This window comes from Homo sapiens, chromosome 6, assembly GCF_000001405.40.
Source record: "Homo sapiens chromosome 6, GRCh38.p14 Primary Assembly".
NCBI classification, from domain to species: Eukaryota; Metazoa; Chordata; class Mammalia; order Primates; family Hominidae; genus Homo; species Homo sapiens.
This window is the reverse complement of record NC_000006.12, coordinates 104,314,952-104,327,751: the sequence shown is the minus strand read 5'-3', so window position 1 is coordinate 104,327,751 and position 12,800 is coordinate 104,314,952.

The following is a 12,800-nucleotide window of genomic DNA, read 5'->3' as shown; positions in this document are numbered from 1 at the left end:
GGAGGGGCCTGAATTACCCAGGTGGGCCCAATCTAACCACTTGAGCCCTGAGAATCAGAGAAATTTCTTCAGCTGGAGTCAAAGAGATGCAGCAGAAGAGGAAAGCAGGAGAGATGAGGCAAAAGGGGAAGTCAAAGAGATTCAAAGCCTGAGAAAGGCTAGACTTTCCCTTGATGGCTTTGAAGGCGGCCATGAGCCAAGGAATATAGGCAGCCTTTAGAAGTTGAGAAAGACTTTGACTGACAAGCAAAAAGGAGATGGAGGCCTGAGTCTTATAATCACATGGAACTGAATTTGGCCAACAACTGAAATGAGTTTGGATGTGGATTCTTCCTAGAGACTCTTGATAAAAGCCCTGCAGCCTGACACTTTGCTTTCAGCCTTCTGAGAATTGGAGCAAAAGAAGCAACAAAGACCGCTGGACTTCTGACCTACAGAACTGTGAGTTGATAGATTTGTGTTGTTTTCAGCAGCTAAGTTTGTGGTAATTTGTTATGGTAGCAATAAAAAACTGTAAGAACAATAAACAGGAAAAAGAAGCAAAATATTTGCTAGTAGAATGTAAATGCTAAGGAGTAAAAATACAGCAAACAAGGTATTAAACGAGAGAAGAAATGGTATTTTAGGTAGGATTTCCAGGAAGGCCTTACTGAGAAGATTACTTTTGAGAAAGGACCTGAAGACCATGCAGGAGCAAGTCATGAGGATATTGTGGGAAAGGCTTTTCCATGCAGAGAGAGCAGTAAGAGCAAAGGCCCTGAGGCCGGAGCAGGTTTGTTTGATGTGTGAGAGGAGCAGCAGGGAGGCCAGTATGGTGAGGGCAGAGTGACTTTGGGAAAGAGTGTAGGAGATGAGGTAGAGAGAGAATGGGAGTCAATTTTCTGAAGGCCTTATCAGTCGTAGCAAAGGCTGTTGCATTTATTCTGAGTGACAGGAGCTGTGGGAGGGTTTTAAGCAAGGGAGGGAGTAATAGGATTTGCCTTGTGCCTCAGCAGGGTCACTCCAGCTTGTGTATTGAGAATAGACTGCAGGAGGCATGAGTAGAACCAGGGACATCAGCTAGAAGGCTACTGCAAAAATCCAAACAGGAGATGGTGTTGGCTTGAACTTCGATCTGGGTAGTCAGAGTGGTGAGAAATGGTCATAGTTGACTCATTTTGAAAGTAGAGCTGATAGGATTTGCTGAATGACCAGTGGTAGAGGATGTGGGTTAGGGAGAAAGAGCATCTTTCACAACTCTTTCCTAAAATGCAAAGTCAAGATTACAGAATGGAGTGATCAAAAAAAAGGGAAGTTGCCCAATGTTTTGGAATTTTAAAAATTATTTCATTATATATTTGTTTGGTGAACTTATTCGGTAGATTTAATTGCATGTGTGTAATTCTGGAATGTCCATGTCGTGATTTGGTTCCCTTGGCAACTGCCCAGAGGTGCTGGAGTGTAAGGTGTAAGGGCTCCCCACAGGACTCTCTGCATGCCTTCAGGGATGATCGAAGCTGCCAAACCCTCAGACCCAGTACTGCCCCCGCAGAAGGTCTCAGGGGTGTTCCCCAAATAACACAGAAATGAGTCAAATGCCTCACAAAGTGGAGTAGACAGAGTTGTGACCAAAAAAATAAAACACAGGCAGAGCAAGTTTTAAACAGTTTGGAAACTCAAGAGCTGGAACACAGTAGTAAGGTGGAAATGTCAGATAATATGAAACTTTTTAACCTGGAGAAGTAAAGTCACCGGCATGGTTTGATAACTTGACTGAGTATGCAAAGCATTACAGCTCAATAAATGGTGGCAGCTCTCCCCTTATCTACAGGAGATAACCCGAGGGATTTAGGTCAGCTATAAGGCAGAGCTTATTTGCGGCAAAGATTATTAAATAATGGAAGGAGTGCCTGAAGAATCTCCAGAGGCGTTTTTCAATACCTCAGGGACATATTTTGACACGGTAGTGCTGGACTTCTCCACAAGATGGCAATCACGGGTTGACTCCAATTTTTGTTTTGATAAAAATATCTATAAAGTTTACTTTGGCAGGAAAAAGTAAAGAACCGTGACTTATGCTTCGCTGTCATATTTTGTATTATATTATCTATGGATGAGTTATATTTTTCCAACCCACCATCTCCACTTATGGAGTTTTAAAACATATTATTTTGTAAGGCTGGGGGAGGCATGTTGCAATATTGGAGTGGCAAATCTCTCTCTCTGTTCTCACATCCCAACATCAGGATATTGATCTTCTTTTTGGAAACATTGCGAAACAAAGTTTCACATGCCTTACAAGTCTGAAATGAGGTATGTCCTAAAACCTGGTAAATAGAAGAAAGTTGGTTAGAAACCTAGATGTCTCCTCAAACAAGAAATTATGATTTTGGTTAAGGGATATGGAAATAGTGCATTTTGCAAAATGATCTTAAAGGATTATTGCTGCTTTAAGAAGCAAGAATTTTTATTCTTTATATTTGAAATGGAATATCTTTAATTTAAAATTCAGAGGACAAATGCCCTCTTCTTTTTTTTCTAAAAAGAAATTAACTACTACTACTCATCTTGTGTAGACGTTATAAAGCTTCAGGTCATGTACTCAAAGGTACCTGCTGAAACTTTATTCATTTATAACAACTGTATTCTCTATTTTGTACCTCTATTTTGCCTGATGGCCAAAAAGAAACATGTTCATTATCCGCATATTAATTCAGAATTTCGTCTCCCTTCTTTCTCCCTGGAATTAGTTCTGGATGTAGAAACAGCCTCTGGATGGCAGGGAGGATATCTGGTTCTGGTATTTGTGCATGTGGTGTCTCTGACATGGACATTCATATATTTGGGCCAGGAGCATGGCCAGTCCTCCGTGCTGGCATCCACTGAAAATCATGCGGTTCTCACTGCTTTCCTTGTCGCATAAACTGTTATCTGCCTCCTAGTATGGCATCCCCTCACTACAACCACAAAGCCAATGTCCATGATCTTTCATTGGCGTAGGATGATATTCCATGCTACTCAGAGACCTGCTGAGAGCCGCTGGTCTGGTGCAGTGTGCTCTACTGGGCTGCCTCTCACTGCAGTGTCTACTGTGACACTGCTGTTTTCCAGCCTGCACAGTTGGGTTGCTGTATGTGTTGCAGCTGACAGGCATTTGGGTCCTGCCTTTATAACCTCCACCTGAGGACTTGAGGTTTGTGATGTCAGGAATACAGGTCTCTCTGATGCTTTTTTTGTTTTCCCCACTTCTCTCTACCTCTGTCCTTCATTGCGTAATACAGATATCTACACTGTAAGATCTGTATGTCAGTTTCAGCTACTGGCTCATCAGTTAGAAAATCCAGAAGACAGTGTATGTATGTATAGGCAGGGTGTTTGATTTGTCTGTCTTAATGTATCTGAAGAATAGTTGGCAAACCAGTGTTGATGCAGCACACTTTGGGGTGGCAGGGGGGAGGGTGAGAAAAAGCATAAGTTACGGACGATAGCTAAGATACACTAGGATAGATCCAGGATCCTCCAGCTACTAGCTGTGTGAGACCTTGAATAAGTCACTTAACCCAACTGAGATTAGGTTTCCTGATCTATGGTCTAGAAAGCACCATATGAGATTCGAAAGATGTATTTGATATCAATTTGTGAAAAGTAAATGTATATTATACCTTTTTCCTGTTTAATTTAAAACTATGTAGGTAAGAGCTAAATTAGGACAGAAGTATTTAAAGCCTTGATTTCTTTTTTCTAAACTCTGAGGTTTAGGGGTATATGAGCAGGTTTGTTATATAGATAAACTGTGTCACAGGGGTTTGGTGTACAAATTATTTCATCACCTGGGCACTAAGCTTAGTATTCAATAGTTATTTTTTCTGATCCTCTCCCTCCTCCCGTTCTTTACCCTCAAGTATACCCTGGTGTTTGTTGTTCTCCTTTTTGTGTCCATGTGTTCTCACCATTTAGCTCCCACTTATCAATGAGAACATTCAGTATTTGTTTTTCTGTTCCTATGTTAGTTTGCTAAGGATAATGGCCTCCAGCTCCATCCATGTTCCTGCAAAGGACATGATCTCCTTGTTTTTATGTAAAGCCTTGATTTCAGTAACTTAATTTTATAAGGCAGTTTATGTACAGTTGATACATGGTTTGAAAGAAGTATATAAAATTTGCTCATTTTCAATGGCCTGAATATAAAAATTATGTGTATAAATAAACTCAAGATGTCCCATATTATTCTACATATAAAATTAATGTCATAAAACTACCATGTTGGAAAAATATACACTTTTTACTTTGGCTAGGCGTACTATCAAATCCCTCTTCATTAATAAGGGTTTTAAAAGAGAGAATAAAGAAGAGTTAAAGGGAAACATGGATAAATTTAGGCAGAATGAATGAACAAATGTTATTGGAAACACTGAAAAAATTATTTCAGATGGCATTGTAGATGTCAGAGGGTTTTCAATACAAGTATTTAAGTTGACATGAATTGCAGATGGCTAATAATACATCAGAATAATTAAATTATAGATTGCAAATAGCACTTATGTGGGTAACTTCCCAGTTGTTCTTTACACAGTATTTGGTGCAAAACTCTCCTCCTCTGGGCTTGAAAATGTCAACTTAGGTTTCATAAAATATGCCAAAGGGGAATTTCATGTGTGCTTTGCAATATGCTGGTTTCTACCGCAGTTCCCTTCCCACTGTGGTTATGTATCACATGTGTACTTCCCTCCGTGAGTGCATTGGAGCTGCAGTGGTGAGGGAGAGAGTTGCCTGCCCAGCTTGATATAAGTGACAGCTCAACGGGGTTTCACTGGATCATTTATAAAGTTTTAGATGGTGGTCACTGCCAGCTCAGAAGATAATTATAATAAGTGAATTTTGTCTGGAAGCCAGAGAAAGAAAATCTATCTGGCGTTGTGATAAAAGAAGACGACTTTATTGTTTTACCAGCCCCTGTACTTGCAGCTGGAGTCTGTGGCAACGGTTGGGTATGGAACTCAGGCTCTCCCTCTCATGCCTTTCTGAACCCAGAACAAAGCAATTCATTTTTAGACAAAACCATTTAGAGGACAACCAATTTCACTGCAAGCATCCTGGAATCCAACAGCTTAATATGGCTCTGGTTGGAATGACATCTCTAAAATTGTATCTTTGCTGCTGTGTGACTCCTAGTGTTTCCTATAATTTGGTAGCAGAAACCATATGTCTTTGTGCCTACTGTGTGCAGTCCCCTGTGGCGGGCTGCTGCCATCCTAGCTATGTGACTGCCCTGTGATAGGAAGTAAGCCTCAAAGCACGCTCCTCTAGGAGGCAGGGAGAGGATGAGTGAGAAATTTCTTACTAGGTAGACAAGTAGCTGAGCTCATTATATGGCTTTGTCCACTGTGTCTCTTTTGAAAGGAGATTGCTCATTCTTTTAAGCAAAAGAACAATTTTACTAGTAAATGAGATTTTCTCTGCAAAGCTGGTCTCAAGAAATGACATATACGTAGCCCTGTAATAGATTCTGATAACTTAATTAAAGCTAATGCAATATGCAATTCCAGTGCATTGTCAATCTTGGTCAAATGTGTGCTTCATTTTAACTGGCAGTGCAAATCACTTGTGAGGGTACAGGAATAACATGCAATCCAAAAGAATCCATATAGCAGCATCTTTTTATTGATTTGAAGGGAAGTACAGCATATTATGGTGGGGCTATATACAAAACCCTCATTTTAAGGGTAATGAGACTCAGATATTACCATAGATAAGCAGCATCAGATATTCATGCGTCTGAAAATTGTCTGTTGTTTCAATTCATATAAAGTAAATCTTTTCCACATCAATTTCTTTTATGATCTTGGGTTATTGCTTGAGTGCTCAGTCTTAAGATAAGTTTACTGGTTTAAGAATTTAATAAAATTTACTATTAAAAATGGAAAATGTACAAATATATTGTCTATATTTTTTTCCATGGCTCTTGTTATGACAAAATCCAAACATAAGAAAAGAGGAAAATATTTGTGAGAAATGAAAGAAGTATTATTGGATTCACAGACCCTTCACAATACCCAGGAAAGCACACTGTTAGAATTGCATTTACTTCACCTCCTGTTGTGTCACATACGATGTCAAGAAGATATTTTTATGAAGTAAGTCATATCATTTTCACCATATTACTACAGTTTTCCTGAACTGCTCAATGGGAATGTTTTAATTCTCACATAGACTTTCTAAGTCCATCTGTGAAAGTGGAAATAGGCTAGTAAAAGTGCCAAGAAACAACACCTGCTCAGAAACATGAGAGCCAACCTGCTCCTCCCTGCCCATGCCCAAGTTCAGAGCATGATCTAACAGTTTGAGTGTTATCACATTAGAAGCAGACAAGCAGTTTACATAGACCAAACTAGGCAGTAGGTAGGATAAGAGCAATTGGTCATTGGTCACTCATGGACAGATTTCAAAAGCAAAAAGTTAAGAGATGTATCACACAGGTGATTCTGTTTCAATAGAGCCCATTCTTGCTGAATGAGACAAAGAACTTTCTCAATAAAAATTAAGGGCCTCATAGGATAGGCAAAGAGGCCTGCAAACCATCCCTCCAAGGAGTGACCGTCCAACCACACCTAGGAGCTTCTCTAGCCAAGTCCCTGCTGCTGTCTGGGCCGGATCTATACACAGAGATTAGGTTCAAAAGGCTGTGACCCTGAAAAGCAAATAGCTCTGCTGTCATCCTCAGCAAAAGTGAAACATGCAGGGTTCTTGCTTCCTATCCACTGTCTTTCACATTAAAGTGAATCTTGTGGTTATCTTGGAGGCAACAAAGTCTAACGGAAACCTGGGCCACCACGGGCACATGCCTACTTTGACCTTGCCAAAACTCTACAGTCCTATTTTCCTTTCCTTTCTCCTTTCCTTCCTTTGACGGAGTCTTGCTCTGTCGCCTGGGTTGGAGTACACTGACAATCTTAGCTCACAGCAACCTCCGCCTCCCAGGTTCAAGTGATTTTCCTGCATCAGCCTCCCGAGTAGCTGGTATTACAGGCACGTGCCACCATACCCAGCTAGTTTTTGTATTTTTAGTAGAGACAGGGTTTCACCATGTTGGCCAGGCTGGTCTCGAACTCCTGACCTCAGGTAACCCGCCCTCCTTGGCCTCCCAAAGTGCTGGGATTACAGGCGTGAGCCACCATGCCCAGCATGTACAGTCCTCTTTCAAATGCACTGTCAGCCACACAAACACAACATGGGCTTTTGCCAGTGAAACAGGCACTTCCTTTTCAAGACTAGCATCGTAAGCAATAAGAGGACTCAGAGAGCAAAAGTCATTGATTGTTACCTTTCAGCCGCGAGTGGCTGAGTAGAATGACATGTGTTTTCTACATTGTGCATGAACAACTTTTTAAGGGGACTTCTGTTCTTATGTCACTGGTATGCCAAAATGGGGGAAAATGCTTGTGGTACTTGTTGTGTAGTTTGCAGTTTATTTATGTATAAGATTGAAGTGCAGCTAAAATAAAGATTAATTAGTTTTTATGTGTGACTGTTACAATTGGTGTATTCCTTTAATATTGTCTAAAACATTAAAACTTTTTTTTTTTTTTGACATGGAGTCTTGCCCTGTCACCACGCTGGAGTGCAGTGGTGTGATCTTGGCTCACTGCAACCTCTGCCTCCAGGGTTCAAGCAATTCCCCTGCCTCAGCCTCCGGAGTAGCAGGGAATACAGGCACGCGCCACCATGCCCAGCTAATTTTTGTATTTTTAATACAGACGGGGTTTCACTATGTTGGCCAGGATGGTCTCGATCTCCTGACCACATGATCCACCTGCCTTGGCCTCCCAAAGTGCTGTGATTACAGGCGTGAGCCACTGCGCCCAGCCCATTTCTTGTTTCCTTAAAAGGCTTTATTATTATTATTTTTTTAGTGTGGAACTTTAATAACACTTTAGTATTTAATAGTATGTAAAAGTTCTTCGTGTACTATAAGAAAATTCAGTTTTTATATATGTATTTTTTGGAAGTCTTTTCATTTATATATGTTATTTATGTTAGAAACAAGTTAAATGGACACCTTAAATAATTTTAAAATGCCCTCTTGTGTAAATGTTTAAAATATAACTATAGATAGTTTTAAATACAGTGAAGACCTGTTATATAGAATTAGTAATTATGGTGTTAAGAAAATCAGTATAAATTCTGTAGGTTTATGTTCATATCAAAATCTTCTGAATACTAAAACTCATTGACCAGGCACAGTGGCTCATGACCATAATCTCAGCACTCTGGGAGGCCCAGATGGGAAGATCACTTGAGCCCAGGAGCTTGAAGCTGTAGTGAGCTTTGACAGTAGCACTGCACTCCAGCCTGGGTAACAAAGGAAGACCCTCTCTCAAAAAAACCTCCCAAAATAAAAAATAAGACAGAAAAACATAGCTCATTTGCTGTGGTATACCTTCATCCTATATAAAATTTACTGATATTCAGTGTGAAATACTCACACTGGAGTCCCTCTCTTTATTAGTGAATTTGGAGGGATGTTTGATGCAAAGAAGTTTCAAGGTTCCATGATTTGCCATGACTGAGGGAGAGAAGATGGAAAACTCTACATAACCCTCTTCCAAAAAGCACAGAAAAAAAGTATGAGGCAGCAAATAGTGTCTGCAGCAGAAAACACACATGTAGCACAATGAGCCCTCTGAACCACAAGAACACAATGGGACTAAACCAAGGATATGAGTTCCTTGTGGTTAGCCAGCAGAGCAGGAAGTCAGATAATTTTAGGGCATATTAATGTATTCATAGAACCCAATTTATTTCTGTATTTAAAGTAAATGTAAACATTTGCAGATGAAAAAGCCAATGAGTTTGTACAAACAGAAATGAGTTCCTAAATGGACTAAACAATCAATAAAGAGGAGTAGAGGATAAGAATATTGTGGGATGTTGGATTATAAATAAGAGATCTTGACTATATAAGCAAGTTCTTAATAGACCAAATTGGATGAATGCTTTTTCCAATTTCTAATGACAAACTGGAAGTTCATCTTGGGAGCCAGAGTATGGTACTCTTTAATGTACTTATTTATTTAAAAATACTTACTAAGCACATCTTTGCAAGGTGAACGAAACAGATAATGTATTGAGGAAGACAAATATTAAGTAAATGAACCTATCACATGTGATAAGAATGCTGAGAAAGTAAACAGGCTAATATGTATAGAATGGGTATGTGCCAAGGACAAGTGATCATAATTGATCAAAAGAAGACACTGGGAGGCTGAGGCGGGCAGATCATGAGGTCAAGAGATTGAGACCATCCTGGCTAACACAGTGAAACCCCATCTCTACTAAAAATACAAACAATTAGCTGGGCATGGTGGCACGTCCTGTAGTCCCAGCTACTCAGGAGGCTGAGTCAGGAGAATGGTGTGAACCCGGGAGGTGGAGCTTGCAGTGAGCCGAGATCGTGCCACTGCACTCCAGCCTGGGTGACAGAGCGAGACTCCGTGTCAAAAAAAAAAAAAAAAAAAGATAAAATATTTAATAAATGAACATATCACATGTGATAAGAATGCTGAGAAAGTAAACAGGGTATATGTTTAGAATGGTTATGTACCAAGGACAACTGATCATAATTGGGCAGACAGTAATCTGGAGGAGAGGAGGGAAGGCTCCTGGACCCCATTGCACTAATTTTGCCAGTGTTGTAAAAACAGCCTTTTACACCCTAGATCTTTCTCCTTCTCTTCATACACATCTCAAAAAAGTTCTGGCAGACAGGGCATAGAGAGCTTCGTATATTTGCCATGATCTCCCTTCTTCTCCCTTTGCTTATCTCCTGAGTACCTTGTTTAATTAGGGATGTCTGGTGACCATGCTGTCCTGGAGAGAATAAGAATTAGTAAAAAGAGTGCTTCTTTTTCCAGTATTGACCTATGTGCTAAGGGGATATTCAGAGTCCTTCCAATAGAGCCAATTTTATTTATTCTTACTTCCCATCTCCACTCCCACCTTAATACTGATGCATGTGAAGAAGCAGAAATGGGAGGAAAACACAGTTAAGGACAAAACTAGAATGGAAGCAATGTGTAGATGCTTGGTGCACTAGGAAGATTGTGAGGAGTCTAGTGTGAGCAAAAGATGAATTTGGTTTTTAAAAAAATCACCTTATTTGACTATAAAACATTTGAATTTTTTATTTGGATGTTAAGATTTTCCTGGATCTTACATATTTGGGTGACCTCATCTTATTGATAATTTATACTCTAAACATCTTTAGAGGTATTATAACAAGTCCTTGAATTTACTCATAGTAACCGTAACAAAAGGTATACAGTACTTTACCTCTTTAAGTTTATTCATTCATAAAACATGGTAAGTAGCAGATACTGTGCTAGACCCTCACAAAAGTGAGTATGACAAAAATGACTTTTTCCAATTTCTTTAAGCTCAGAGTTCCCTAAAACAAAGCACCCCAAAAATCAAACAAGTAAAATAATAGAGCAATTGTATACAGACTTTACTTGAATGTTATTCTGGAGTAGGGAATATCTACTTCTTTTTATTTATTTATTTTTTATTTTATTATTATTATACTTTAAGTTTTAGGGTACATGTGCACAACGTGCAGGTTTGTTACAAAGAGATTGACCCAGAAATCTCTTGATTTTATTAGCTCAAGAGATGAGAACAAGAAGACAGAGGCTATGGAAAATTTTAGCGTGGTATCCATGCTGGTTATTTGCTCAAATTCTTCTCTCAGTTTCTACTTGTGGGCTCTATATTGCTGTGGGAGGACTTGGTCAGGCTGTGTTTCCTTGACTCCTAAGTTACCTGATTTCCGGCTGGCTCTGGCCACTGGGAGACATTGGAGAAAGATTTGAGGCAGTGAGGACAAGCCAGGGTATTTCCCCCCACCTCATTCTACCTCAAGTGGTATCTCCAGCAGCGGCTGCATCTCTTCTGTGGCTCCAACTCCTACAAGTCAGCCCCCTTTTCCACTATTTAGGCTTTCCTGGGTAAAGATTACAGTTCTAGCCCTTGCTGGCTGGATTTGACTTCTGTAGTCCAGCTGTACCACCTCTGCTATTGCGTCTCTAGAGAGCTGTAGAGATGACAGTCTGCTTGCTGTTGCTAATCTTTGGGTTGCCTGTTCATCCTCTGTTTGGCTTCCCAACTCTTTAATTACTGGGAAGCCAAATCCCTGTGTTAAGTGTCTCCTGTTTGAAATGCCTCAAGTGATGACTAACAGAGTATCCAATGCTGTCTCAAAGCACTATGCCTTTCCCATGAGTAGAGACAATATTCTAGGGCTGAGAAAATGGACCTTCAAAAGAAGCTCTGCCTCGGCAGACCACTTTGAGCAATGTTATTTCTGTACTGTTTGAACAGTCTTCTTGATTTTTTCCTTTTGTATCTTCATCAACCCCTGCTGCCTTGTCCTCAAAATGCACTTAGACTATGCTTCTTTTACTTACCTTTTCTAAAATATTACTTTCCAATTGCTTCTCCTACTGACCTCAGCTTCATATTTATTTTAGCCAGCTGAGACTTAGATGACCTGTCTCCACTATTCCTGGGATCTCACCATAGTCTCCTTTCGCCTTTGGCATTCTCAGTGATAGTATTAGTATTTGGCTGAATGCTTTCCTGCCTCTCTGCAGATCATAGGTGTTGACACAATAAAGACAAAAGACTACTTGATTAGCTCATGAGTAACTCAGTGCAAACCTGCCTACTTCTTATAAGTTTGCAGCCATTTTAGTGACGTTATCGTAACGTATATAGTAGAAGGAACCCAAAGCAAGCTGTGGGGAGACTTATTTCCTGGCTCTGTCTTTGAACATATGTGATATGTACAGAAAAAAAAGAACCTTAGTACCAGCTCTCCCACCTGACTGAATTGTTCAGAAGGCCAAATAAGAGACTAAAAGTATAATAAAGTTAATAGTCCGCTGCTTGATTTAAACATGTGTTACTTTATTCCAATGATTCCATGAGGTGGTTATCATTCCAGCTGAGAAAACTTAGGCTAAGGCCAAGTGACTTGTCCAAGGTCATATATAGAATAAGTGGCATATCCAGAGTTCTAACCCTGTTTGCTTACCTTCAATGCCCATGTTCTTTCCACTCTACCTGCCTCTGGATGTGAAAAGATTATTAATCAAATTGCTTTAGGAAAACAAGTGTTACATGTAGTACAAATTCTGCAGCATAGCAGGAGACATTATCCTTCTTGGAATCAAGGCCGTCACATACCAGAGAAAATAACCATCAGATTAATTGTTCTTTCTACACAGCTGATGTACTTCACAACCATCTGAGCTATTTCCTCTCTGAGTGAAAGCATTTGATTTTTTAAAATAATCTATGTTCATATCTCTGTCTTTGGCTATACAGCCTTTCTTCTTGGACCTTTAGCTATAGACCCTGGTGGGAGCAGGAGTGCATTTGATCTCTTGAGCCTGCATAAAGACCCACAGTGCTGTGGACAAAAAGTGATGCATGCAATAAACAGTGTTAGCTGGCAGTTCTCTGCAAATCAAGGTAATCTAGCTGTTGGCTGTTTGCTTTAAAAGTTCAATGAAATGCATTGGCTTAAGTTTTGCTTTTGTTGTATCACAAAAAGGACTCTGAGAACTTTCAAAGACATGCTGAAACAATCATTCAAATATTTTCCCCATATTTTTACTGTACACTGAGTGTTCTGACAATGTGTTATGCTGCATTTTGCCACATTTTGACTGTCATTCTGCTTGCTCCATGTTATGTTTATTGCTGCTCATTCAGATTACAGATTCAAACTGAAGTTCACCATGCTGATATCATGTGTAGAC